Source organism: Homo sapiens, chromosome 3 (genome assembly GCF_000001405.40).
Source record: "Homo sapiens chromosome 3, GRCh38.p14 Primary Assembly".
Classification (NCBI taxonomy): Eukaryota; Metazoa; Chordata; class Mammalia; order Primates; family Hominidae; genus Homo; species Homo sapiens.
The window spans coordinates 129,626,669-129,653,490 of NC_000003.12; the positions used below are offsets into that span (position 1 = coordinate 129,626,669).

At 46.6% G+C, this 26,822-nt stretch overlaps 1 protein-coding gene and 1 pseudogene across 16 annotated transcripts in view, besides 5 other annotated features; both read right to left on the reverse strand.

The window, feature by feature from the left end:
* Window positions 140–469: a silencer, noted in NCBI's record as "silent region_14728". NCBI's record gives its function as "represses an Ori minimal core promoter by ATAC-STARR-seq in GM12878 lymphoblastoid cells {active_cell/tissue: GM12878}" and the evidence as "EXISTENCE:reporter gene assay evidence [ECO:0000049][PMID:35858748]".
* Window positions 1,120–1,229: an enhancer, noted in NCBI's record as "active region_20518". NCBI's record gives its function as "activates an Ori minimal core promoter by ATAC-STARR-seq in GM12878 lymphoblastoid cells {active_cell/tissue: GM12878}" and the evidence as "EXISTENCE:reporter gene assay evidence [ECO:0000049][PMID:35858748]".
* CARMIL2P1 (CARMIL2 pseudogene 1) lies at window positions 5,351–5,824 on the reverse strand (annotated as a pseudogene).
* Window positions 13,296–13,905: an enhancer, noted in NCBI's record as "H3K27ac hESC enhancer chr3:129358807-129359416 (GRCh37/hg19 assembly coordinates)". NCBI's record gives its function as "activates a minimal SCP1, AML or CMV promoter by ChIP-STARR-seq in primed H9 embryonic stem cells {active_cell/tissue: H9 hESC(primed)}" and the evidence as "EXISTENCE:reporter gene assay evidence [ECO:0000049][PMID:30033119]".
* Window positions 14,518–15,127: an enhancer, noted in NCBI's record as "NANOG-H3K27ac hESC enhancer chr3:129360029-129360638 (GRCh37/hg19 assembly coordinates)". NCBI's record gives its function as "activates a minimal SCP1, AML or CMV promoter by ChIP-STARR-seq in naive H9 embryonic stem cells {active_cell/tissue: H9 hESC(naive)}" and the evidence as "EXISTENCE:reporter gene assay evidence [ECO:0000049][PMID:30033119]".
* Window positions 21,124–26,822, reverse strand: part of TMCC1 (transmembrane and coiled-coil domain family 1) — a 245,920-nt gene continuing 240,221 nt past the window's right edge. For all 16 annotated transcript variants that reach the window (NM_001128224.3, NM_001349268.2, NM_001349270.2 and 13 more), the window contains one exon: window positions 21,124–25,127. In NM_001128224.3, coding sequence (NP_001121696.1) covers window positions 24,813–25,127 — 315 coding nt within the window. In that variant the 3' untranslated portion in view covers window positions 21,124–24,812. The remainder of the gene's footprint in view (window positions 25,128–26,822) is intronic.
* Window positions 24,938–25,232: a silencer, noted in NCBI's record as "tiled region #9069; K562 Repressive non-DNase unmatched - State 13:Ctcf". NCBI's record gives its function as "represses a minimal TATA promoter and a strong SV40 promoter by Sharpr-MPRA in K562 cells {active_cell/tissue: K562}" and the evidence as "EXISTENCE:reporter gene assay evidence [ECO:0000049][PMID:27701403]".

Sequence of the window (26,822 nt, forward strand, 5' to 3'; positions counted from 1 at the left end):
ATAAAAGTTTTTAAAAACAACCCAGTTCCATACTCGCCAGCCTGTGCCAGGTTCTTAGCCTGGGGACAGAGCTGGGGCGGGGCGGGTCCCTGCTTTCTGACCGGCAGGGGTGGGAGGGGCCCAGGCTGGGGTGCTGCGAAGGCAACCCAGGGAGGGCGCCCGAGCCCCGCCCAGGCCAGGCCCCAGGCTCTCCCGTGCTCCCGCCCCGCAGAGAGAGGCCGGAAGCGGCCCCGGAGGGCCCATTGTCCGCGCTTCCGTTCCGGCTCCGCCTCGTCCTCCCGCGGCCAGAGGTGCGACCTCTGAGCCCCTGGCCAGCTCCCAGCCGGCCTAGGGGGGCGGGGGCACGGGGCGGAGGTCCCGCAGCCCGTGCTCGTCCCGCCTCGCTTGGAGGGAGCAAGGGCTCCGAGCCCTGGGCCCAGGTCCTGTGCCTCCGCTTCCCCGGCTGCGGGTACACCCCCAGCTTCCCGAGCCCCCCGGGCCCTCGCTGCTCCACCCAGAAGTTGCGGTGACTGCGGCCCCAGCACCCCGTTCCCTGGCCGGGCATCACTTGCGCAGCATGCTGCCCCCAGAGGACAGGGCTACAGTTAGTCGCCCACACCTCATTCACCCCCTTGGGCCCTTGAGCGTCTTAGAAGCCGCAGATGCCAAGGAGGGGACGCTGCCTCGCGGATGGTCACTTGGGAGCAAAGCTGGGGACTAAAGGAACCAGGGACAGAGATTCCTGCTCTCGCCAAATTGGCCGCTCTGGGCCAGGCACTGAGGACACACCGCGAAGCCGGATAGCCAGGTCCTGTCCTCAGGGCCCTGTCCGGAAGAGGACTGGGCAGCCTCGAGTCCGCGGCAATGAATGAATGTTCAATTGCACAGATGGGGAGGCGAAGGAGGGAGGGAGGGAGGGAGGGCAGTCGCTTGGGCGGTCATTGGAGGCTCTGGGAGGCTATGCGCCGGCAAGAAGCAGCGGGGTGGAGGCAGCCCTGCGGGAGTCGGCGAGGGCCGCGTGGATGTGCTCGGTGGTTTTGAGGCCAGTGGCTGGAGGGGCGTGAGAGTGGGAGACCAGACTTGAGGGGAGTGGCTGGAGTTGAGACTCAAATCCAAGAAGGAAACGGTGGGGCTTGGACCACTTGCCTACTGAGAAAAATGGAAGTCGGGAAGGCTTTAGATCTAGTCGCGCTTGGTCACTTCCGTCTCCGGGCCTCAGCTTCCCAGGTTGTAGAAAGCATCAGGGTTGGAGGCTCTGAAATTCTGGCTCCTCTCAAGCCAAGATTAGTATGACTTCATTTTGGTTGTGCAAGAAATGGGCCTGCAGCGGTTCGCAGAGGCAGAGGGACCTAAGCTTGAAGGGCAATCAAACCGGCGTAGGCAGGAACGTCGGGAGCCCAGACCCCAGGCAGGGAGTTTAAGGTCTTGGACACAGAGGGTGCGCTCCTCGAAGCAGCCACAAAGCGGTGACAGAGACCAGGCTTACGTTTTGTTTTGAAATAATTTCAAAGTAACAGAAAAGCCGTGAGAATAGTTCCGAGAACTGCCTCCCTTATTAATGCAGATTCACCAAGCTTTAACATTCTGCTCCCCAGCCCTTGCATATTCAAGCCCCCATTGCAAGCATCGGAGAGTAAGTTGCAGGCGCGATGGCCCTTGAACCCTAAGTCCTCCAATGTGTATTGCCCAAGAACAAGGACATTCTATTGCACAACCCCAGTGGTTTTCAAGATCGAGTGATTTAACCATAATACAATAATTTAATCTGCACAACCTTACTCAAATATCACCAAATGTCGCAACGAGGTCTTTTATAGCACATCCCCTTCCCATCCCCATCCAGGAGCCACGCCAGGATCACATTTGTAAATTTAATTATTATTATTTAAGACGAGTCTCGCTCTGTCGCCCAGGCTGGAGTGCAGTGGCGCGATCTCGGCTCACTGCAAGCTCCGCCTCCCGGGTTCACGCCATTCTCCTGCCTCAGCCTCCCGAGTAGCTGGGACTACAGGCGCCTGCCACCGCGCCCGGCTAATTTTTTGTATTTTTAGTAGAGACAGGGTTTCACCGTGTTAGCCAGTCTGGTCTCGATCTCCTGACCTCGTGATCCGCCCGCCTCGGCCTCCCAAAGTGCTGGGATTACAGGCGTGAGCCACTGCGACCGGCCAGGATCACATTTAGTTGTTCACCTTTTTCATTTTGTTATTTTATTTCGTTTGTTTGTTTTGAGACAGGGGCTTGCTGTGTCATCCAGGCTGGAGTGCAGTGGCACCAGCATGGCTCACTGCAGCCTTGAATTTTTGGGCTCAAGGGATCCTCTCCCCTCAGTCTGCAGAGTAGCTGGGACTATGCATGCCAACACACCAGGCTTGTTCACCTTTATTTTAATTGCAACTTATTCACCAAGCTTACTTTGGCTGAAGTAATTTGAAAAAGATGGGTGCAAAGGGTTCTAGCCTCATCCTTCATAACTGCATGACCCCGGGCAGGGCCCGAGTCCTCTCCAGTGAGAAGTGCCAGGATCTGGGCAGGGCACATGGAGGAGCTGGAGCGGGCAGAGGATGCACTTGCATTCTGAGATGGAGCCATTCTTCCGTCCTCCCTGGCCTGGCCCATTTCCCCAGGCTCTTGGCGAAGGGGTACCTCCTGATTCACCCACCACAGTCTTCGAATGGGGCATCCAAGACTCCCCAAAAGGCACCAACTCCTTGAGAAGGCAGCTTTGGGGAACATACTCCCCATCCTGAGACAGACAAAAGGCCAGTTAGAAGAATTGCTTTAGGTCTGGAAAGGAAGAGGAGCTTGAAGGACTCCGGAGACTGGAGATAAACCCTTCTGAGAGTCAGGAGGTTTTCATTTTATATTTGCAATAAAATTGGGGGATAATCCAACCAACTTGTCAACTAATAGAGGTTAAAAATAATTTCTTTAACTTTTACTATGGAAAATGTAAACACAGGCAAAAGTAGAGAGACCTCTACAATGAACCTTTACTTACCCATTACCCAGTGGTAACAAAAATAATTCTTAATGATGGATTACTATGGATTTTGGGCAGAAAATTCAAAGGAATAATTGTGTTGCATTGCTCCAGTACTCCCTCCTTTCCCTTTGCTTATTTATGTGACAAGACTTCTCAGTGCTTACCTCTATAAAAATGAGAAATTGGAAGAGACGATGCCGACCATTGACTCATCACAGAAATAAAGAATGTTTATCCACTGGTGCACTAAATGAGGTTTGGGTAGTAGCGCAACAATCAATGTATAAGAAATACATTGCTAACAACATTTTACTTTGTTTAATAAGTATCTATCAACACTTGTAGGCCGGGTGCAGTGGCTCACCCCTGTAATCCCAGCACTTCAGAAGGCCAAGGCAGGAGGATCACTTGAGCTTAGGAGTAGAGACCAGCCTCAGCAACATGGTGAAACCCCATCTCTACAAAAAATTAGCCGGGCATAGTGGCGCGTGTCTGAAGTCCCAGCTACTGGAGAGGCTGAGGCAGGAGGATCACTTGAGACTGGGAGGTCAAGGATGCAGTGAGCTGTGATAGTGCCATTGCACTCCAGCTGGGGCAACAGAGCGAGACCTTGTCTCAAAAATAATTGTAATAAATTTATGTTTTGATGAATTGTATGCTAATGTTATTTGTAATAACTTACCAGAATTTTTTTTAAGAGATGGGGGTCTCACTGTCACCCAGGCTGGGGTGCAGTGGTGCAGTAATGGCCCACTGCAGCCTCAAACCCCTGGCCTCAAACTATCCTCCCATGTCACAGGGACTACAGGTGCAAGCTGCCATGCTTGGCAATTTCTTTGAAACGTTTAGTGATTGTAGTCACAGAAAATGTGTGTTTTTCCATTTTGGTTTACACGCATAGTTTCTACTATGGAGAAGTAGGATGGTGTGACCAATAAGATACTTTCAGGCATGAGAATACATCATTGTAGGCTCAAAGTTTGTGGGGGCAGTGGAATTGAATACGAGTTTCTAAGAGAAATAAACTGATGTAAAAACTTCATTTAAAAAAAGGCCAGGGCCGGGCTCTGTGGCTCACGCCTGTAATCCCAGCACTTCGGGAGGCCGAGGCGGGAGAATCACGAGGTCAGGAGATCGAGACCATCCTGGCTAACACGGTGAAACCCCGTCTCTACTAAAAATACAAAAAATTAGCCGGGCGTGGTAGCGGGCGCCTGTAGTCCCAGCTACTCGGGAGGCTGAGGCAGGAGAATGGCGTGAACCCGGGAGGCGGAGCTTGCAGTGAGCCGAGATCGCGCCACTGCACTCCAGCCTGGGCCACAGAGCGAGACTCCGTCTCAAAAAAAAAAAAAAAAAAAGGCCAGGCGCGGTGGCTCACGCCTGTAATCCCAGCACTTTGGGAGGCTGAGGAGGGTGGATCACCTGAGGTCAGGAGTTCGAGACCAGCCTGGCCAACATGGTGAAATGCCATCTCTACTAACAATACAAAAAATTAGCTGGGTGTGGTGGCACGCACCTGTAATCCCAGCTACTGGGAGGCTGAGGCAAGAGAATCACTTGAACCCAGGAGGTGGAGGTTGCAGTGAGCCGAGATTGCTTAATTGCACTGGGCAACAAGAGCGAAACTCCATCTCAAAAAAAAAAGAGCTTGTTCATGTACTTTTACATGGGTAGTGGTGGGCATCCAGCAACTATGGGCTTTTAGAAGCCGCTGGATGCATTATACAAGTGATGAAACAGCTCATTTAACGTCAGTGTTGGCCTAGCGCAGTGGCTCACGCCCGTAAGCACTTTGGGAGGAGTAAGCCAAGGCAGGAGGATCATTTGAGTTTAAGACCAGCCTGGGCAACATAGCAAAATCCCATCTCTACCAACAAAGAAGAAATTAGCTGGCCATGATGGAACACCCTGTTGTCCGAGCTTCTTGGATGGCTTGAGCCCAGTTCAAGGCTGGGCTGCAAGTTCAAGGCTGCAAGTGAGCTGTGATGGTGCCGTTGCACTCCAGCCTGGGAGATAGAGTGAGACCTTGTCTCTAAAATGAATAAATAAATAAGAAAAGTTAAAAAACATTTAAAATAAGTGAATAAAAACTCAATATTTACCATATCCAGGAAATCACATCCTTTGCTTCCAGTTTAATGTTGTAAATATGAATTTTTAAACGTGTGAGAGGGTATAAGGTGTTTCCATATTCTTTTGGGGGACCCACCGGTAACACAGTTTGCGGTTCCTGGCTGGGCAGTGCCTAGGAGCTGCCCCCTGAGGTGTGGGAGCCCGCCATAGGCTGCCCTCCAGCAGACTCCAGTTCCTCTAGGTACCTGTTCTATTTTTTTTTTCTTTGAGTTTTTTTAATAAAATAATCTCATGCATCAGGAGAGGACAGGGTCAGGGATTGGGGCCGCTGCCTCTATGGTCTGTGGCTGGGGAGGGTGGGCTCCGCTCAGGGCTGGAGGGCTCTGTGGGCTATGGGGGCAGAGGCTTGGTTCCAAGGCTGGATCCTAGCCTTGGGGATGGAGGTGCCTTGAACTTCGGCCTGCATTTGAAGACGGGGAAGCGCTGCAGTCGCAGGGGCTGTTCAGCAGGGGCCTGGAGCTGGTCCTCAAGCACAGACACCGCTCACGGCCCTGCCGAGAGAGGCTGCAGCCTCAGCTGGCCATCTTCATTCCTGGGGCTGAAACAAGGGTCCTCCAGGAGGCCCAGGCTGCCTGGGGAGGGGCCGGCTCTGCAGGGCCTTGGGCTTTGACCAGGGGAAGGAGGGCCTGGGCCATCCTGTTGGCCCCAACCATGGCTCCTGAGCTCTGCATTCAACTGCTGCCCCACTGTCTTCCAGGTTGCAGCCTCGGGCTTGCAACTGAGATTTCTGTCTCAGTCATTGGTTGCTTCACACTTGGTCTCTCCCTTTCTAAAGCTGGGGGCATCTTGAAGCGCCCTCAGGGGATTTATATCTCGGGGTCACAGTCACGCGCCCATCCATTGAGGGACTGGGAGGTCCCTGAGGAGGGAAGCCCAGCCCCTGAGCCTGCTTATCATCCAGCTGGGTGGACAGAAGTGTGGACACACAGCACAGCTCACCATGGAGCGGGTGCGAAGTGTAGCATAGCCGACACTGGCGTGGATATGCAGGGGAGAGCGAAGACGTCCTAGAGGGCCTGTGTGGGGGAGGGAGAAGCACTGGTCACAGGCTGTCCTAGAGACTTTGCGTGGATTAACTCATGAAATCCTCATAGTAACTTCATGGGACCAGTGCTGCATTATGTCAATTTTTTAGCTGCATTAAAGAGGCAGCCAGAAGTGAAGTGGATTGCCTGAGGTCACCAGGCTTGGGCAGAAGGCTCCAGAATACCTGCTCTGCCCACTTCGGGTATGCCTCACAGACATGTTGCCCCAGAGGCCCCAGGGGCACCTGACCACCAGGGCTCTGCAGAACAAGCCCGGCCCTGAGAGTGCTCTGCTGCTCTGGGACTGCGGTTCGGGCTTCCAGGGGTGGCAAAGATGCTGTGACCCACTTGTGGCGGGGCAGGGCTGGGCCCTGTGGGAAACAGTGGGTGGCCTGCCTCCTGGACACACTGTGGCCCCACATCAGGGCAGTGCTGAAGCGGCCTGGTGTGGCCGCTGCACTTCCGGATTCTCAGCCTCCTCTGCTGTCAGCCATCCACTGAGCAAAGGGCAGAGGGGCAGGGACGGGGCTCTGCTTCGAGACTTTCCTCTTTCATCCTCCCTTTGGTTGCCTACTCATGCCATCCAGAGATCAAGTCCTCACCTTTCCTATCAGCGCAAATCATTGTTTTCTAGCTGGTTTACCTTGGGCGAGACCCCATCTCTCTGGCTTCATCAGCAAAAAATTCATATTAGTTTGGGCCATATGAAGTTACTGCTTCTGTAGATCCAAAACCAGTTGGATTTTGGAAAAAACACATGGGTCAACCTAATAGTATCCAGTGGCGATACTGGGAGGCCTGAGCATGATGTTACACATAGTGACTTAGCACAGTCCCTGGCACAGGCATGCACTTCACAGAAAGGCAAGTGCTGGGTCCTAGCTGGCATTAAGTCAGGGACCATTAGGGCGCTCTGCAAGGGTGACAGATGCAGAAGTGAATAAGAAGAGGTTTGTGCCTTAAGGAGCTTGTGGGAGCCACATGGATATGCAGCTTACTGAAACACATCCCAAACTAGATTAGGCCAGAAAGGGGATCAGTGCAAAGTAGACTGGCATCTCTTACATGATCAAAAGACAGGCTGAGCAGCCAAGCCACGCGGAGGGTGAGTGTACTGTGGTCGCGGGAGGCTGGGCCCCGCCCTGGGGGCTGTGGTGGGTGCTGTCTCTCACCTCCCCTGCCTGCCTGCAGCCTTTCACAATGACCTGCCCCTAGGGCCCAAGAACCGGCACTGCCTCCCTCTGGTCCCAAGCTCCAAAGCCCCACACTGAGAATGTGGTGGCTCCCATGAAGACTGCATGGCTGGAGGGAGGTGTGGTCATGAGGGGAGGCGCTGGCAGGCAGTGCCTTACAGGTCCACCACCACGTGTCACTGGGCTGCAGGTGGCAAAACCCACTCAAACTAGCTTCAGCAATAAAGAGAACTTACTGGCTCATGACAAGGGAGGTTCAAGAGATGAAGGTGGCTTCAGGTGGGACTGCATCCAGGGGCTAGACTGGTTTTACCAGAAACTCAACTCTGGCCTCTGTGTCTGGGCTTTGCCTGCCTCCCTTGTGACTTCATGCTCAGGTCTATCCAGACTGTGCTCTGGCAGCCCTGGCTACACAGGGTCCTTGTAGGCGGTGAGTTTAGGGAGTAGAGCTCCTCTCTGAATGTAGCCATCAGGAGTCCCAGGATCGACTCCAGTTGGCCTGACTTAGATCACGTGTCCATCCCTTGAGCCAGAGGTCAGGTGGGAATTAGTTTCATGTGAACTACGGGGAGTGTGAACAAAAGTTCTCTGAAAAGGGATTTGGAGAAAAGAAACTTTATTATTATTTTCTTGAGACAGGCCCTTGCTCTATTGCCCAGGCTGGGGTGCAGTGGCACGATCATGCCTCACTGAAGCCTCAACTTCCTGGACTCAAGTGATCCTCCCACCTCAGCCACTTGAGGAGCTGGGAGTATAGGTGCACACCACCATGGCTGGCTAATTTTTCTTTCTTTTTTTCTTTTCTTTTCTTTTCTTTTTTTTTTTTTTTTTGAGATGGAGTCTCACTCTGTCATCCAGGCTGGAGTGCAGTGGCATGATCTCAGCTCACTGCAACTTCCGGCTCCCAGGTTCAAGCAATTCTCCTGCCTCAGCCTCCTGAGTAGCTGGGATTACAGGCATGCGCCACCACACCCAGCTAAATTTTTGTATTTTTGGTAGAGACGGAGTTTCACCATGTTGGCCAGGCTGGTCTTGAACTCCTGACCTCAAGTGATCCACCCTCCTCGGCCTCCCAAAGTGCTGGGATTACAGGCGTGAGCCACCGTGCCCAGCCAATGCCTGGCTAATTTTTAAATTTTTATAGAGACTATGTTGCCCAGGCTGGTCTCGAACTCCTGAGCTCAAGCGATTCTCCAGCTTTGGCCTCCCACAGTGCTAGGATTACAGGTGTGAGTCACCATGCCTGGCCAGGAAATAGACTTCATTCCAGTGAACAGTTTGCAAACCAGGGAGATGCAGCCTTTGGTATAAAATGAAGGTGCATTCCAGAGAACAAAGGGAGGGTTCAGGTTTTATAGGGAAAGTCCCTGCCCAGGTTCCCAATCAGGTCTATTTATGCAAATGAAGGATTCAAATTTGCTTAGTTTTAATTAGTCAACACAGCTGAGCCCTGATTGGTTGATACAGCTGAGCTGAGATTGGTTGACATAACTGAGCTGTGAGTGGCTGGTGCAAGTGAGCTCTGAACACCCCAAAATTGAAGAGAGAGGTGTGGATTTTCAGGGAACTCAGTATGTGTGTGACCTCTAGTCAGCAAATGGCCCCTTGGCTCTGTTTTAAATTTAGGCCCAGTTAGCCACTAAGGATCCGTCCTGAAGGATTAGCTCTTTCAGGTTCACATTTGTTCACAAGAATGAGGATGGGTGAGAAAGTTTACCAGAAGAAGGATTCAGTACAGTAAAACCTCAAATTAACCAATAGTACCAATTCAGCAATTCAGGCCTTGATCTTTGGATCGTGTGTGTGGACGACAGAAGGGAGATGGAAGAGGAAAGTCTTGAAGAAGAGCCCCAGTTCCTGCCTGTCTGCCCTTTGCTCAGTGGATGGCTGATAGCAGAGGAGGCTGATAATCCAGAAGTGCAGCGGCTACACCTATGGATAGGTGCTACTACAGAGAGTGTGACAGAGGTGGAGAGCTCAACTGCATGTATGTGAGGACATCAGAACAGGCTTCACAAAGGAGAGGCTCCCTAAGTCCTCAAAAAGTTACATCTAGAATCACGACATGACCCAGCAATGCCACTCCTAGGTATATATCCAAAGGAATTGAAAACAGGGACTCAAACAAGTGCATGTACACCCAAGTGCACAGCAGCACTATTCACAATAGCCAACAGATGAAAACAGGTGTCCATCAACTAATGATAAACAAAGTGTGGTCTATCCATACAGTGAAATATCATTCAGCCATAAAAAGGAATGAAGTCTTGACATACTCTACAACATGGGTGAACCTTGAAACTGTGCTAAGTGAAAGAAGCCAGGCACAAACGATCACATACTGTATGATTCCACTTGTGTGAAACATCCAGAATAGGTCAATCCACGTGGACAGAAAGCATACTGGTGGCTACCCGGGGTGAGTAGAAGGGGAGAATGGGGAGCAACTACTTAATGGGTATGGGATTTCCTTTTGGGGTGATGAAAATGTTTTCAAATTAGATAGAGGTAATGGTTGCACAATATTGTGAATACACTAAATGCCATGCAGTTTTTCACTTTAAAATGGTTAATTTGAGTTTCACCTAACAAAACAAAACAATAACACGTCACCCCTCCCCCCCAAAAAAAGACAAATGATGTATCTTATGTGGTATTTGCTTCAAAATGATTCAGATTGAAGTGACGTGGGAAGTGGAGGGCAGGTATAGATGAAGCAGGGTTCACCAGAAGTTAGTAACTGTTGGCTGGGCATGGTGGCCCATGGCTGTAATCCCAGCACTTTGGGAGGCTAAGGCAGTTGGACCACCTGAGGTCAGGAGTTTGAGACCAGCCTGGCCAACATGGTGAAACCCCATCTCTACCAAAAAATACAAAAATTAGCTGGGTGTGGTGGCATGTGCCTGTAGTCCCAGCTACTTGGGAGGCTGAGGTGGGAGAATCCCTTGAACCTGGGAGATGGAGGTTGCAGTGAACCAAGATCGTGCCATTGCACTCCCGCCTGGGTGACAGAGCGAGACTCTATCTCACAAAAAAAGAAGTTGGTAATTGTTGATTGTAGTTCATTATATTCTTCTCTTTTTGTAGATTTTTGGGAAATTTCATTGTAAAAAGTTAAATAAAAGAATAAGTAAGAGTCATATCCCAAAAACTGTTGCCAAGACCAATGGCAAAGAGCCTTTTTCTTATATTTTCTTCTAGAAGCCAGTTTTATTTGCCAAGTTAATTTTTGCCAAGTTAATAATGTTTTTATTATTATGGCTTTGTAGTATAGTTTGAAATCAGGACATATGATGCTTCCAGCTTTGTTCTTCTTTCTCAAGATTGCTTCGGCTATTTGGGTGCTATGTTAGCCCATTCTTGCATTGTTGTAAAGACATAACTGAGGCTGGGTAATTTATAATGAAAAGAAGTTTAATTTTGGCTCACTGTTCTGCAGGTTGTACACGAAGCATAGTGCCAGCATTGGCTTCTGGTGAGGGTCCCAGGACACTCACAATCATGGTGGAAGGTGAAGGGGGAGCCAGGGCATCACATGGCAGAGAGGCAGCAGCAAGAGAGAGAGAGGCATCTCCCCCTGGTTCCACACTCTTTTAAACAACCAAATCTCACATCCAAATCTCACATGAACTGAGCAAAAACTCACTCATTACCAAGGGGATGGCGCTAAGCCATTCATAAGGGATCTACCCCCATGATCCAATCACTTCCCACCAGGTTCCACCTTCAACATTGGAGATTACATTTCAACATGAGATTTGGAGGGGACAAACACTCAAACCATATCATTCCATCCCTGGCCCCCTGAATCTCATGTCCTTCTCATATTGCAAAATACAATTATCCACTCTGCAGTGGCTCACACCTGTACTCCCAGCACTTTGGGAGGCTGAGGTGGGATGATCACTTCAGCCCCAGGAATTGGAAACCAGCCTGGCCTGGGCAGCATGGCGAAACCCTGTCTCTAAAAACATTTTTAAAATTAGCCAGGTGTGGTGGTGTGCACCTGTAATCCTAGCTACTCTGGAAGCTCAGGTGGGAGGATCACTTGAGCCTGGAAGGCTGAGGCTGTTGCGAGCCTCACAGTACACCAGCCTGTGCGACAGAGCAAGACCCTGTCTTTAAAAAAACATATATATTATGCATATACATATATATATATACACACACACAATTTTTATTTGTCAATCATAACTCAATGAAGCTAGAGGAATAAAGAAGAATAAATAGGAGTTTGCCAGGTAGACAAATGGTGTGGGAGGGTGCTCATTACAAGAAGAGGGAGTGGAGTGTGCAAACGTGCAGAGGAGTGAAGCAGCACGAGGCACAATGTGGGCAGAGATGGGATGCCTGCATGAGGTTGTAGGCCGACTAGCAGAGCTAGAAATACTAAAAGATCATCTAGCTCAAACCCTCACCATACATGGAAATGGAGGTTCAGAGAAGTTAGGGGACCTTGTCCAAGGTTACACAACTAGTGGGAAGCTGAGCTGGAATCAGAGCCCAGGCCAGAGTAACTTTTACTAGGCTATGCTGCATTGGTTCACTCCCTCCTTCTCGCCTTCCCTCCTGCCCTTCCTCCCTTCCTTCCGTCTTTTTTTTTTCAAATAAAATCTGGTTTTAAGCAGAAATAGTCTCAAAACTGCCAGATAAGCAGTCACAAAATCCAAGCACGTATCTTATTTGTGGGGCTTGTTCAGAATCCATTTAATCTGACTTTGGACAAAGTTCTGACAAGTTGGGTTATATGGATTCCCAGCTCACAGTAAGTGAAAGGCAGTTGTTGGGGGGAAATGAAGGGCTTTCAGGGCAGGCACACTGGCAATAATGAAATGTGATAGTCACAGCTTGGGCTGGGAGGAAATAGGAAAGCTAATGAAAAGAGATATTAGAATAAAAATACTTAGTCATAAAGGACATGCAAATCAAAACCACAGTGAGGTACCACTTTACACCCATTAGGATGGCTGGAATAAAAAAGTCAGGACCGGGCATGGTGGCTCATGCCTGTAATCCCAGCACTTTGGGAGGCGGAGATGGGTGGACCACTTGAGGTCAGGAGTTCGAGATCAGCCTGACCAACATGGTGAAACCCCTCCTCTACTAAAAACATGAAAATTAGCCAGGCATGGTGGTGCATGCCTGTAATCCCAGTTACTTGGGAGGCTAAGGCAGGAGAATTGCTTAGAACCCGGAAGGCAGAGGTTGCAGTGAGCCTGAGCCACTGCACTCCAGCCTGGGCGACCAAGTAAGACTCCGTCTCAAAAAAAAAAAAAAAAAAAAAAAAAAAGGCCGGGCATAGTGGTTCACTCTTGTAATCCCAGCACTTGGGGAGGCTGAGGTGGGCAGATCGTGAGGTCAGGAGATCGAGATCATCCTGGCTCACATGGTGAAACCCCATCTCTACTAAAAATATGAAAACAAAATTAGCCGGGCATGGCAGGCGCCTGTAGTCCCAGCTACTCGGGAGGCTGAGGCGGGAGAATGGCATGAACCTGGGAGGCGGAGCTTGCAGTGACCCAAGATCGTGCCACTGCACTTCAGCCTGGGCGACAGAGCGAGACTCCATCTCAAAAAAAAAAAAAAAAAAAAAAAGTCAGGTAACAAGTGCTGGTGAGGATATGAAGAAACTGGAACCCTCATATACTGCTGGTGGGAATGTACAATAGTGCAGCCACTTTGGAAACAGTCTGGTAGTTTCTCAACAGGTTAAACACAGAGTTCCCATATGACCCAGAAATTCCACTCCTGAGGCGGGTGGATCACTTGAGGCCAGGAGTTAGAGACCAGCCTGGCCAACATGGTGAAACCCCCCTCTCTACTAAAATGCAAAAATATAATACAAAAAATTAGCCAGGCGTGGTGGGATGCCCCTGTAATCCCAGCTACTCGGGAGGTTGAGGCAGGAGAATCGCTTGAACCTGGGAGGCAGAGGTTGCAGTGAGCCAAGATTGCACCACTGCACTCCAGCCTGGGTGACAGAGCAAGACTCTATCTCAAAAAAAAAAAAAAAAAAAAGATGAAAACTGTGTGGCCTGATGTTTGAAATTCTTAAATTTTGTGTTTGAAAAATCAACTATTGGCTGGGCACGGTGGCTCAAGCCTGTAATCCCAGCACTTTGGGAGGCTGAGGCAGGTGGATCATGAGGTCAGGAGATCAAGACCATCCTGGCTAACATGGTGAAACCCTGTCTCTACTAAAAATACAAAAAATTAGCCGGGTGTGGTGGCAGGCACCTGTAGTCCCAGCTACTTGGGAGGCTGAGGCAGGAGAATCGCTTGAACCCAGGAGTCCGAGGTTGCAGTGAGCCGAGATTGCGCCACTGCACTCCAGCCTGGGCGACGGAGTGAGACGCCTTCTCAAAAAAAAAAAAAAAAAGAAAAAAAAAGAAAGCAAAATCAACTGTTAAAACAATTCTTATGTTTTGCTTGTAAAGGACATGATGAGAAAGTTTTTTTGTTTTTTTTTTTTTTTTGAGATGGAGTCTCGCTCTGTCCCCCACGCTGGAGTGCAGTGGCGTGATCTCGGCTCACTGCAACCTCCGCCTCCCGGGTTCAAGCGGTTCTTCTGCCTCAGCCTCCCGAGTAGCTGGGACTACAGGCGCCCGCCACCATGCCTGGCTAATTTTTTGTATTTTTAGTAGAGACGGGGTTTCACCATGTTAGCCAGGATGGTCTCGATATCCTGACCTCGTGATCCGCCCGTCTCAGCCTCCCAAAGTGCTGGGATTACAGGCGTGAGCCACCGCGCCCGGCCGAGAAAGTTTTAAGCTGCTTGCAGTTACTTCTCTCAGATGTCCCATGGTATGTATGAGCCTTTAATCACTACAGTAAATGCAAAACTAAGTGGGATAGAACCGATACTATATTTTTCTTTTGAACACTGGTTTTTGAAATACCAGAGACATCTTGATGTGCTCTATAAGAATTCTGACCAGTTGGCTGGGCGCAGTGGCTCATGCCTGTAATCCCAGCACTTTGGGAGGCTGAGGCGGGCGGATCACCTGAGGTCAGGAGTTCGAGTCCAGCCTGGCCAACATGGTGAAACTCCTTCTCTACTAAAAATACAAAAATTAGTCGGGTGTGGTGGTGGGTGCCTGTAATTCCAGCTACTCAGGAGGCTGAGGCAGGAGAATTGCTTGAACGCAGGAGGAGGAGGTTTCAGTGAGCCGAGATTGCACCATTGCACTCTAGCCTGGGCGTCAGAGACTCTGTCTCAAAAACAAAACCAAACCAAACAAAACAAAAAGAATTCTGACCAGTTGAGCAATGTAGGGGTGGGTTGCCCCTCCACACCTGTGGGTGTTTCTCGTAAGGTGGATGTGTCAGGGTCACAAGACAATTGTGGGGAGAGGGTCAGCAGACAAACACGTGAACAAAGGTCTTTGCATCATAGACAAGGTAAAGGATTAAGTGCTGTGCTTTTAGATATGCATACACATAAACATCTCAATGCTTTACAAAGCAGTATTGCTGCCCGCATGTCCCACCTCCAGCCCTAAGGCGGTTTTTCCCTATCTCAGTAGATGGAACATACAATCGGGTTTTATACCGAGACATTCCATTGCCCAGGGACGGGCAGGAGACAGATGCCTTCCTCTTGTCTCAACTGCAAGAGGCATGCCTTCCTCTTATACTAATCCTCTTCAGCACAGACCCTTTACGGGTGTCGGGCTGGGGGACGGTCAGGTCTTTCCCTTCCCACGAGGCCATATTTCAGACTATCACATGGGGAGAAACCTTGGACAATACCTGGCTTTCCTAGGCAGAGGTCCCTGCGACCTTCCGCAGCTTTTGTGTCCCTGGGTACTTGAGATTAGGGAGTGGTGATGACTCTTAAGGAGCGTGCTGCCTTCAAGCATCTGTTTAACAAAGCACATCTTGCACCGCCCTTAATCCATTTAACTCTGAGTTGACACAGCACATGTTTCAGAGAGCACGGGGTTGGGGGTAAGGTTATAGATTAACAGAATCTCAAGGCAGAAGAATTTTTCTTAGTACAGAACAAAATGGAGTCTCCCATGTCTACTTCTTTCTACACAGACACAGTAACAATCTGATCTCTCTTGCTTTTCCCCACAGAGCAAAACTCACAGATTTCATGAAGAATGTGAATATGCCCAATTACCATCATTTGCTCCCATTAATGTGCTATATGTCAATACCATGACTCCTTATTTTTATTTTTTACTTTTAGGTTCAGGGGTACATGTGCAGGATGTGCAGGTTTGTTACATAGGTAAACGTGTGTCATGGGGATTGGTTGTACAGATTATTTCATCACCCAGATTATTTCATCCATTAGTTATTATTTTCCTGCTTCTCTCCCTCCTTCCGCCCTCCAGATTCCTTATATTTTATTTTCTCTTTTAGATTCTGAAATACTTCATACAGTAAGAATACTGGTACCCACCACCATGCAGACATTTTGTACATTTGCCTCAAATCCATCCCCTGCTCCCCCTCCCCTCTGCCACACACACAATCCTGTTATGGTCATGCCTAGATTTCAGCTATAAATTCCCACCTTGTCCTGTCCTGATGTTTAACCCTTTCGGTGGCCATGGCCAATGCTCATAGGGAGATCGTGAGCTCGGCACCAAATAATTGTTTTATTATTTGATTGCTGGAGGAGAACTAAGGTGACTTTACAGCAGGGACACAGAGATCCAGAAGAAGTCAGATCCTTGCCTTCTCAAGATTACACAAAGTCTGAAATCCACAATTCTTGATTCCTTGCCCAACAAAATGGAATAGCAGAAATTGCATGGGCTTTAGAATCAAACTCAACCAAGTTCAAATCCTGACTTTGCCATTTACTAGTGAAACAGCTTGTCCACAAGATAAAATGCAAACAACCTTCCCAAGCTTTTGGTTTCATCTGAAAAATGGAAGTTATACCACCTCCTCTTTAGAACGGTTGAAACAATCAGAAGCATAACAAGTGGCACTGTGCCTGGCACAGAATAGGGACTCAATTAATAGCAATTTTTTAAGTTCCACTTTTTAATGAGCACCAATTCTGGGCCAGGCATTGTTTCAGGCACTTAGGACATAGCCACAAACTGACAACGTCCCTGTCACTGTGCTGGTTAAGAAATTATAAGTAAAATAGATTATCAGCCAATTATATGTGTATTCACTCGCAAAGGCTTTTTTGTTTCGTTTTGTTTTGTTTTTGAGATAGAGTCTATGTTGCCCAGGCTAGTCTTGAACTCTGGGCCTCAACCAATCCACCTGCCTTGGCCTCCCAAAGTGTTGAGATTACAGGCGTGAGCCACTGTGCCTGGCCCCATTTGCGAGTTTTTGTTCTTATGGACACGATATTCTTTTCTTGTCCCCATGGCCAGCCCATTCTCTGACACATACTGATTTTTTGGTTCCCCAAACCAACTTAAGAGCCAGGGCTGGCTGAGGATAGCCCAAATTCTGGCTACTGGGCTCTTCGTTGGTAAGAATGGGAGATGTGCTATATTCTGAAGAGAGTTAGATGAGTGACACAGGTGCCTGTCCTCTAGGAATTCTCAGTCTACTAATAATCAAGATCATGGTATAGCACTTTCTCTTGCCAGATGCTGGGCTAGGCTCTGTACAATTTTCATTTAATCCTCATAACCTTCACAACCTTCTGTTAAGGTAAAGTGGTTATTAAAATTCTTAAAAGAGGCCAGGCGCGGTGGTTCATGCCTATAATCCCAGCACTTTGGGAGGCTGAGGTGGGTGGATCACCTGAGGTCAGGAGTTCGAGACCAGCGACCAGCCTGGCCAACATGGTGAAACCCCGTCTCTACTAAAAAATACAAAAAATTAGCTCGGTGTGGTGGCACAGGCCTATAATCCCAGCTACTTGGGAGGCTGAGGCAGGAGAATCACTTGAACCTGGGAGATGGAGGTTGCAGTGAGCCAAGATCGTGCCACTGCACTCCAGCCTGGGCGACAGAGCAAGACTCTGTCAAAATAAAATGAGATGAAATAAAATAAAATAAAATACTTAAAATAAAAACTTTAGACAAGTTAAATTTAACAAAGAATGATTCATGAATTGGGCAGCCCCTAAGACCAGGACAGGTCAGTGAGAGTCTGGGGCTGCCATATGGCTAAGTAACATTTATGGACAGAAAAAGGCAAGTGGTGTATAAAAAATTGAAGTGAGGTATGCAGACCTCACTTATTCTTGTTAAACTTATTCTGGGCTTGTACCTTATTTCAACAGTTGGCTGCCTGTGGTTGACTGAAGTTCGGCTGCTGTGATTGGCGGAGACTTGGCTACTCGTTACAAGAGTAGGTTCCAATCTGCTTATGCCTGGCTAGGTTACAGTTCCCTATGTATGGAGAAACCTTTAGGCCAAACTTAAGATATGTACAGAAGCAGCTTTAGGCAAAATTTAACATAATTCATTTTCATCATGATTTGTTGCACCTTTTAATACAGTCTCGAAAACTATTGAACTGAATTCTTTCAACAGATAAAGAATATTCTCTTGAACAGCTTAAACATTCAGTAAGACAGAAGCATGAATAAATTTTGTCAAGTACTCTTGCTCTGGGATTTAAGGATTGTAATACCAAAGGTGACAGGGATTTTTTTTTTTTTTTTGAGATGGAGTCTTGCTCTGTCGCTAGGCTGGAGTGCAGTGGCGTGATCTCGGCTCACTGCAACCTCCGCCTCCCAGGTTCAAGCAATTCTCCTGCCTCAGCCTCCCAAGTAGCTGGGACTACAGGTGAGTGCCACCACGCCCAGCTAATTTTTGTACTTTTAGTAGTGACGGGGTTTCACCATGTTGGCCAGAATGGTCTCCATCTCTTGACCTCGTGATCCGCCTGCCTCGGCCTCCCAAAGTGCTGGGATTACAGGCGTGAGCCACAGCGCCTGGCCCAGGGATTTTTTTTTTTTAAAAGAACTGAACTCTGAGTTGCCTACACCCTTTTTCCACTTATCAAAAAACTGTGAAGAGCCTCTACTTACAGGATCAATAGGCAAAAGACCAAATACCTTGGACACCATTCCTCAAACACCCAACTGATTGGGATGACCTGAAAAACAGGTTTCTGGTTTCTTCTCAAAGGGCTGTAATTAAACAGAAGGCTGGGTCACCTTTCAACACCTGTAATGGCTTCTCTTGTAGTCACAAGGTAAACCTTTAGCGTGGTATTCAAGATTTCTTGCAACTTGGCCCCCACATATGATTCTCACACATTCTTTCAGGCACCCTACCAGTCACTTAAGGCTCCTTATCCATTGCTTGAACTGCTCACCTAGGCCGTTTTCACCTCTGTGGTTTTGCTAATACCTCCAATAGAAATGCCCCCTCACCTATTTCTGCTCATCATAAAGCCACCATCTTTCAGTCCAGATACCATGGCCTCCTCCGTTGAGCCTTTCCCTATTGCTCTGTTAGAATTGCTTCCTCCTCTTTGCTCCCACACGTCTTCTGCCTCTTTACCACATGTATTTCATTCTACTAAGTTCCTTTTTCCACAGCCCAGTCTTGTATAGAGTGGCTCTTAAGTGCTGCTGGCTAAATAGGAGGTACCAGCTGCTGCTGTCACCTCTGCACGTGCTCCTCCTTCTCAGCCCGCAGGGCTTCTGGCAGCGGGACATCTATGTGACCCCCAAGCCTAGAAATCCAGGGCTGGAAGAAAGCTCAAGGGGTGGCCCAAACTTGGTCTAGAGCCCCCTCTAAGGCAATCTGGAGGCAAAAGATGGTCTAGTATGATCTGTCATTAGGAACACTATCAATTCTTTTTTCACTTCTCACTGGACCTATTTTTAAGTTTTTGATATATTTAATTTAAAAAATACACAAATACATTTTCTTCAAAGAGATTCATACTTTATAGAAGCCAAGCATGAAAGTGCTGCTTAACCACTGTTCCTCCCTCTCCCTTCCCAAAATAACGGGAAAGTTTAATGCAAAGTTTTTACACATCCACATGCATATATTTACACAAATATACATATTCTCAACATAAATGGGAGACAATATATTGTTCCACAGTTGGCTTTTTAAATCTTAATGCACTGATTATACAGGAGGCTGAACAATTTTCTGGTATGCTTATTGGTCATTTTTCTTTTCTTTTTTTTTTTTTGAGACAGAGTCTCGCTCTGTCGCCCTGGCTGCTGGAGTGCAGCGACACCATCTCGGCTCACTGCAAGCTCCGCTTCCTGGGTTCACGCCATTCTCCTGCCTCAGCCTCCCGAGTAGCTGGGACTACAGGCGCCTACCACCATGCCCGGCTAATTTTTTTGTCTTTTTAGTAGAGACGGGGTTTCACCATGTTAGCCAGGATGGTCTCGATCTCCTGACCTCGTGATCCACCCGCCTCAGCCTCCCAAAGTGCTGGGATTACAGGCGTGAGCCACCGCGCCCAGCCGCTTATTGGTCATTTTTCTATAAGCTCTCTGTTTATAACTATTGCCTGTCTTTTCTATTGAGCTGTTACCAATAGGAAAGATGATTATTGATTTGTAGTCTTAAATATTGTGGACGCTCATTTTTTGTTATATATGTCGCATAGACCTATTTTCCATTGCATTAATTTACCATTTCCTAACATTAATTTTGGGCAAGCCATTTAACCCAAGCTTCAGAGTTCTTACCTAAACAATGAGGATATCTCCTGCATAAGACTGTGGGGGAGAATTGACTGATAAAACTGAATGATGTCTGGCACTCAGTAAATACTCAATAAACGTTAGCTATTCTTCACTATAGACTTGGGGCTACAAGTCAGCTAAATGTTTAGTTTGGACCATAGGATTTAAGTATATTTGAACCCTTCAGGTGAAGCATGCATTTCTAGTTGACCATACCTTCCTCTGCCTCCCCAATCTGTTTTCTACACCACAGCTTCTCAAATTTATGTCATCTGCCTTCCACTCTCTGAAGTTTTCTTTTTTTGAGACAGGGTCTCGCTCTGCCACCTAGCCTAGAGTGCAGTGGTGTAATCATAGCTCACTGTAATCTCAAACTCCTGGGCTCGAGTGATGCTATCACCTCAGCCTCCTGAGTAGCTGGGACTACAGGTGCCTGCCACCACACCTAGCTAAATTTATTTTTTGTAGAGATAGGGGTCTCACTATGTTGCCCAGGTTGGTATCAAACTCCTGGCCTCAAGTAATCCTCCAACCTTGTCCTCCCAAAGTTTTGGGATTACAGGTGTGAGAGCCACCACACCCAGTTTTTACTGGCATTCAGTAAGTCTCCAAGGTTTTTAAAGGATAAAAATAAAGCAGGTTTTGAAATTATGTATCGCCCATTATCATGGCAGCTCTATGTGTCCCGTATGCACTACACAACTCCTGGATGTTGTTCACAGTTTATCAGACTTATGAAGCCCCCGCAGGGTTGGGCAATATACAACCTGCATATCTGTACATGGCAGCCTGGCCCATATTTTAAGGGGAATTTTCAAAGATTTCACAAGATGTATCCCTTGCTCTCACAACATCCACCTGTAGGATCAAGTTGGGTGGTGTGGTATCACTAGTTTATACATGGGGTAAGAGGCACACAGCTAGCAAGCCAGAAGTGGGACTAAAGCTCTCGACATTCAGACTGGAGCTGTGAAGGACCGAATCATCATGTCTCTGCTTGGTACCAGGTCAAAGGCAAGTTTAGGACTTCAGGATTTCCAGAGGCCTCCCAGAGATCATCAGGAAAAAGTCCTAATAGAAATTACTACTTTTATAACAAAACTACAGGTGGCACTAGGCTGGATAATAATGCATTACATGCATGTAGAACTACATATGTTAAATGTTTCAAAAATAAAAAGCAAAACAAACATGAGTCTGACCACCAGGTTAATAGCTGAGGTCTTTATTTCAATTTCTATATACAGTAAAAGTGCTGCTGAGAATCTGCAGCGACCAGACAGAACATAAATTTAAATCTCTCTCAACAATTAGCAGCTTAAGATCTATCAACTACAGTGTTAACGTTCACACGTTCACAAGTGTCATTTCTTTACGTTTCAATTCGTGCAAGTGAGTTTTTATTCTTACACACTTTGATAAAACACACAGTCTAGTAGTCAATCCCTACTGAGGATATCACCTAGCATACACGACATACAGACAGCAATGTTAACTCTTAGAGCCACATTCAAAATCCCAGGTTTCATTTGGGGTTGGGGTGTGGGAACCATAATTTTGCCTGTGTCAGATTACAATAATGTTTGGTTTTGTTTTAGTTGCATATTTTCCAAAGCTGAAAGGCAGCTCCTCATTGGAACTCTCTCAGAACTCAGCATTTTCATCTGACTGTACCTCAAAGGAACATGAAATCAGAAACAAAACCAAATGCAGTGAAGACCACATGAAAATACGCTCATTATTTGGACATGGCTAGTGAGGAAGGCTCGCTCCCAATATTTGTCTTGGCATCAGACTTTTACTCCATTCAGAACAGGGGAGAGAGAAGACCCTAGTCAGTGAAGTATAAAATTTAACCTACTTTTGCTTCTTAAGGAGCCAGTAGAGTGGAAAGCCTTCCTTACTAGGACATACTGAGTATACCAAGGAATGGAAATTGGAGCAGACAGAAGTACCCTTCAATTATCATAAACAATGTAAAATGCGCATTCTACAACCTGAACAATCACCCAGGCCAACACAGCCAGCTTCACTCACCCAGGCTAGAGGCATGGACAAATAAACCAGGAATGTTTCATTTTAAAGGGAATGAATACAGTTTTCTTTTCTTTTTTTTTTAGAGGAGCATTCAAATGAGGGGACGTTTCCACCCAGAACAACTGTTAAGCCATTAGAGCGAGGTTATAGAAGAGCTCTGACAAGACAAAAGAACCCAAGAACAACCACAATGAAAGAAACTCAAAAGTAACAGGATGGGCAGCAAAAGGTACAGCAAAGAATGAAAACAGATGCATGGTTACAAACAGCATTAAATGCGTACAACTTCTGGGTCTGGTGAATAATTAAGGGACAAGAAAGCCATTACTGCACCTGATCTGCACTGAAGGTCCTTCCTAAGACAGTTTGAGAAAGGAAGATAGAAAGTCAGCATGGGACTATTTGGCTGGAGGCAGGGGGCTTTCTACAGGTGAAAACCTTCCTTTGATAGATAGAAACCGTCCCAGGGCAAATAGGAACAGTTTCAATCCATCTATCAAAGTGACTTCCAGTGCCCACAAAACTTAAGTCTTCAGGCAGTTTGGGGGACTCAAAGGTTCTAGCTTAGAAAAACTGGTGGATTGCTGCTAGGGCATCTTTTAAATAACTTTGTGGGGGCTCTCTACTCTGAGCAATTACGCTAAAGCAGAAAGTTAGGAGAAACTGTCAGTTCAAAAAGTTCATAGTGTCCTTTGGCACTCCTGCCTAAAAAGTCACTGCAATATTTTTAGGCAAAGTTAACATTTTAATACATATAGGCTTGGGGACAATTTGTTTTTGGCATGAACATGAATTGGTTCTAATTTTTTTTTTTTTAAAGAAAAAAAGCACCCTTGTGGCCCTGCTCTGGGTGCAGTTTTGAGGGGGCAACAGAGCTAGCAGGTGTACTACAATCAGCTGAGGTTGGGGTGAAGACTGGAGTACCTGAGTTAAAATATCAAAGTAGTTATGGAAACAACATGCTGGCTCTGAGAAATCCAGCTTGCCAAAGCAAAAGGAGGCTGGCACCATTAGGTAAACTGTCCTTTCAGACAGGCAGGGCAATGCTAATCTAGTTCTGAAGGAATTTCCTGGTAAGTGGAAACAGGCAAAGCATACTTTGTTACTCTTTTCAGGGCATCTTATATGCACTTGGTTGCACAGAATGAGGCTAAGAGGGAACAGCATTTGTGACCAATACTACAAATAATATGGAAAGATTAACCAAGCTCTCTAGATAAACTCTAAATGTTCAAGTTCCACCAGGATGATGGAACTGGTTATGCGACGGGGGAAGGCAGCTCAGTTCATTTTTCAAAACCATCTATAGAAGTCCACTGAGCATAATTAGGTTAGGTTAACAAGTCCGTTTACATTATAGGAAGCTGGCAACATTTCACACCCAAAACTTGGGTCCTGCTAACCTGACATTTCCTTCACTGCTCTTTAGGAGAATCACCTTTGGTTGATTCTCTTAGGCAGACAGAATAAAGCTTTGAAATTAAGAATGCTGGGGCCAAAATGAAGACAGAAGACTCCACATCATCACTTTGGTTGTAATTAGGGGTGTTAACAAAATAAATTAAGGAAACACAAGGACTTATTTATGACTCTTATAGTCTCAACTTTTCCTAAAGACAACCCCAGCCCAAGATCACTGGGTGAACGTTTTCTTGGGGCAAAAAAAAAAAAAAAAAATCCCTATCCTACTACACTGGTTTTTGGAAACAGCCTCCTGCTCTCCTTGCACAACCCTTTCCTCTTCAACTAAGCCAAACCCATAAAACGGGGGCGTAGGTATGTCGGGACACCAAAAAGCAGCAGCAGCAGCCAGAGGGAGTTTAAACTGCATCTCAAAACAAAGGCGGCAGAGGGCAGCATTTACAGCAAGACTTTCTTACTCAAACTGTTTCAAGACAAGAGGGAGCAGCACACTTAAATATCCACACATTTCTTCATTTAAAAACATCACTTCTTTATTTCAAAGGAAAAATAAAAGACCCTCCCAACCCTGTCCAAAAAAACCCAATAATAATAATAACAATAATAAAAAATCCTATTAGAAACCATAAGGAAGCACTGAGAGTTTGAGTATTACATTCTTCAAGTATGCTGTTCGGATTTTTTATTTTTAGGTTGGTAACTATACACATATAAAAAAACCTTAAAAGTGCGGCCAAGGGATTTTGCTTAAAATTAAGTATTTAGAGGGCTACTTAAAAATACTGTAGTAGGACTGTGCAGTGATCCTTTGGGGGATGATGCTTTCACTTTTGTATCCTCGTCAAGGTTAAGGGGCAGGTTCAAAAGTGATCATACTTCCAGGATTAGCGTAAGTGGCCAACTTGGGTGAGAAAGCCAGAGAGATCCATGTGTTCTTCCACGGACAACGAAAATCCACCCCGAATCCAAAAATTCAGACATGGAATGTGGTAGGATTTCACAGTAAAGTTAGTCTGGGATAGGGAGAGGTGATGAGCCCAGACAAGGCAGGGTGTTAGGTTTAACTGGTTTGCCCTCATCAGGTTTTCGCATCTTTTTAGTGGGTTTTAGTGCAGTCCTTCAAGCCACAATTTAGATTGCCCTTCGGTGTGCTCCAGATTGTTGGTTCATATTAAAGGACTGTTTTAAGATTTGCATCCCAAGGAAAATCATGCTACATAAAAATGATCCAAGATTTTCGCCCAAAAAACTTCTTGGATAAAATCTAAAAAATACTATTGCAATTGCGTCTCTTGAAGAAAAAAACATTATTCTAAATGTAAACAGATTCACTCAACTCTTTTTTTGTTGTAGAAAACTTCAGAGTAGGTAAGTTGCTGTCTAACTCTCTGCTGCATGCACTCGCCAGAGGGTAGGGAACAATGCCTTCTGTGCCAGCATCATCTAGGGGATGAAAAGAACCGTTCCACATAGCTGAAGAGGGCGTCCCAGTGCTTCCAGAGAAAGGCAATAAAAACCACAAGGAATAAAGTGCTGAACGTCCTGTTGCGAGTCTTCATGAGGGGGACCACACAGTTGGCTACAGTGGAGACAAAGACCAAAAGGACTGCCATGACAGCCAGGAGGATGTTGATGAGTTTGCCCAGAAGGTTCCGGGCAGTGGCATTCTCCAGCCCTTCTAGCTGCACCACCTGCTGCTGCTGCTGCTGCAGCTCCATCTTGGAGATGCGCGTCTGGCATGCCTCCAGGGCCTCCTGTGGGCCAGAACAGGGAAGAGTTAAGCCTTCTGCTCACAAGTATTCTGAGATGCTGACATGCCCCCTGGGCAAGCCAGATGCATCTTGAGCAATGCCAATGATTTTATAAATATGCTGGAGCCTTGAATGAATGTAAAAGGCTAGATGTATAACTCACTATTCAAGTGATTATTATTCCCCCAAATTGCCCTCCACTGCATTCCAGTGGGATGAGTCACAGGAAGCAGTGGCCACACTTAACATTTATTTAGTCTAGAACATTTTAATGACAAGACCACAAATATATGCTCTTTTTTCATTGAAAATTAATCTAAGTTGCACAGAATATATTTGTTCAACATAAAAAATTTCAAATAGGATAGTCTCTCTTGACATTTCCTTCAATTCCAATCCCTGTCCCTGAGGCAGTACTGTTTGTGTTCACCCTTTTATGTGTGTAAGTGTATGCATATATGTGTCAAGGAAAATATACGGAATTATTATTTTTATTTCCTATCTGTAAACTAAAAATAAAATCCTAAGACCCCCAGCCAAATGAACGGACTCCCTCTTGGCCAAAGTGGACCCCAAAGAAACCTGAAAAAGTGAGTTCTTGGCAATGATGGGAAAGAGGCTGGACATGCCTTATTATATCCCCTCCCTTTTTGAGTTGTGGCACAAATGACCAGCATTAATGTGAAAATAGAGATCATAAGACTGACAGAATGGACTCTTTGTGGCAGTAAGACATCAAATTATAAACAAGACCTAAGGCCATGCCAGACAAGGTTAAATCTCACCCTATAAACCATAAAATCTCATCAGTTTTTAAAAAAATTAACTGGTGTTAATGTGGCTTTCTTTCCAACCTGACTCAGGTATAGCATCACATGACAGACAACAGACTCCGTTAACTTAGGCATTTTTGTACTGGCTTCAAGTCTTTACACAAAGCTTAACTCTTTCAACCGACTGCCAGCTAAAAAATTCCTAAAGCCCACTATGACTTGTTAGCCCCTACTTAGAGATGGCCCACCTTTTTGGGCCAAACCAATGTATACTTTCCATGTGTTGATTTAGGATTTTACCTACAATTCCTGTCTCCCTGAAATGTATAAAGCCAAACTGTAACCCAACTGCTTCAGGCATATTTTCTCAGGACCTCTTCAGACTGTGTTCCCCAGGCCATGGTTACTTGTATTGGCTCAGAATAAACCTCTTTAAAATATTTTACAGGGTTTGGCTTTTCCAAACATGGAATAGTATCACACTATAGGAATCGATTCACAACTTGCTTTTTTTTTCATTCAACAGTGGGTCTTGGTGATCTCTCCATGTCAATACACAGAATCTACCTCATTTTTTTTTAACTGCTGCCTGGCATTTTATAGTATGGCTAGGCTATGTTATAATATATGCAGCTAGTTCCCCCTTGGGGATTTTTAGGTTGTTTTCAACTTTTCCACTATAACAATGATGCAGTGAACATTCTTTGAACATGCTTCCTTATACACACTACCTGGTGTTTTCTAAGTCAAGTCAATCCCTGACATCAGTGGAAAGGGATCTCTGATCTGCCTTCTTAAGAAGGGCACACTCTCCTTTAGTTTGATCCTCTGTAAAGAGGACACTATGCCCACACACTAGACCAAACATTAAAAGTGTCTATTCTTGCTATTTTTTTGAGACGGAGTCTCGCTCTGTCACCCAGGC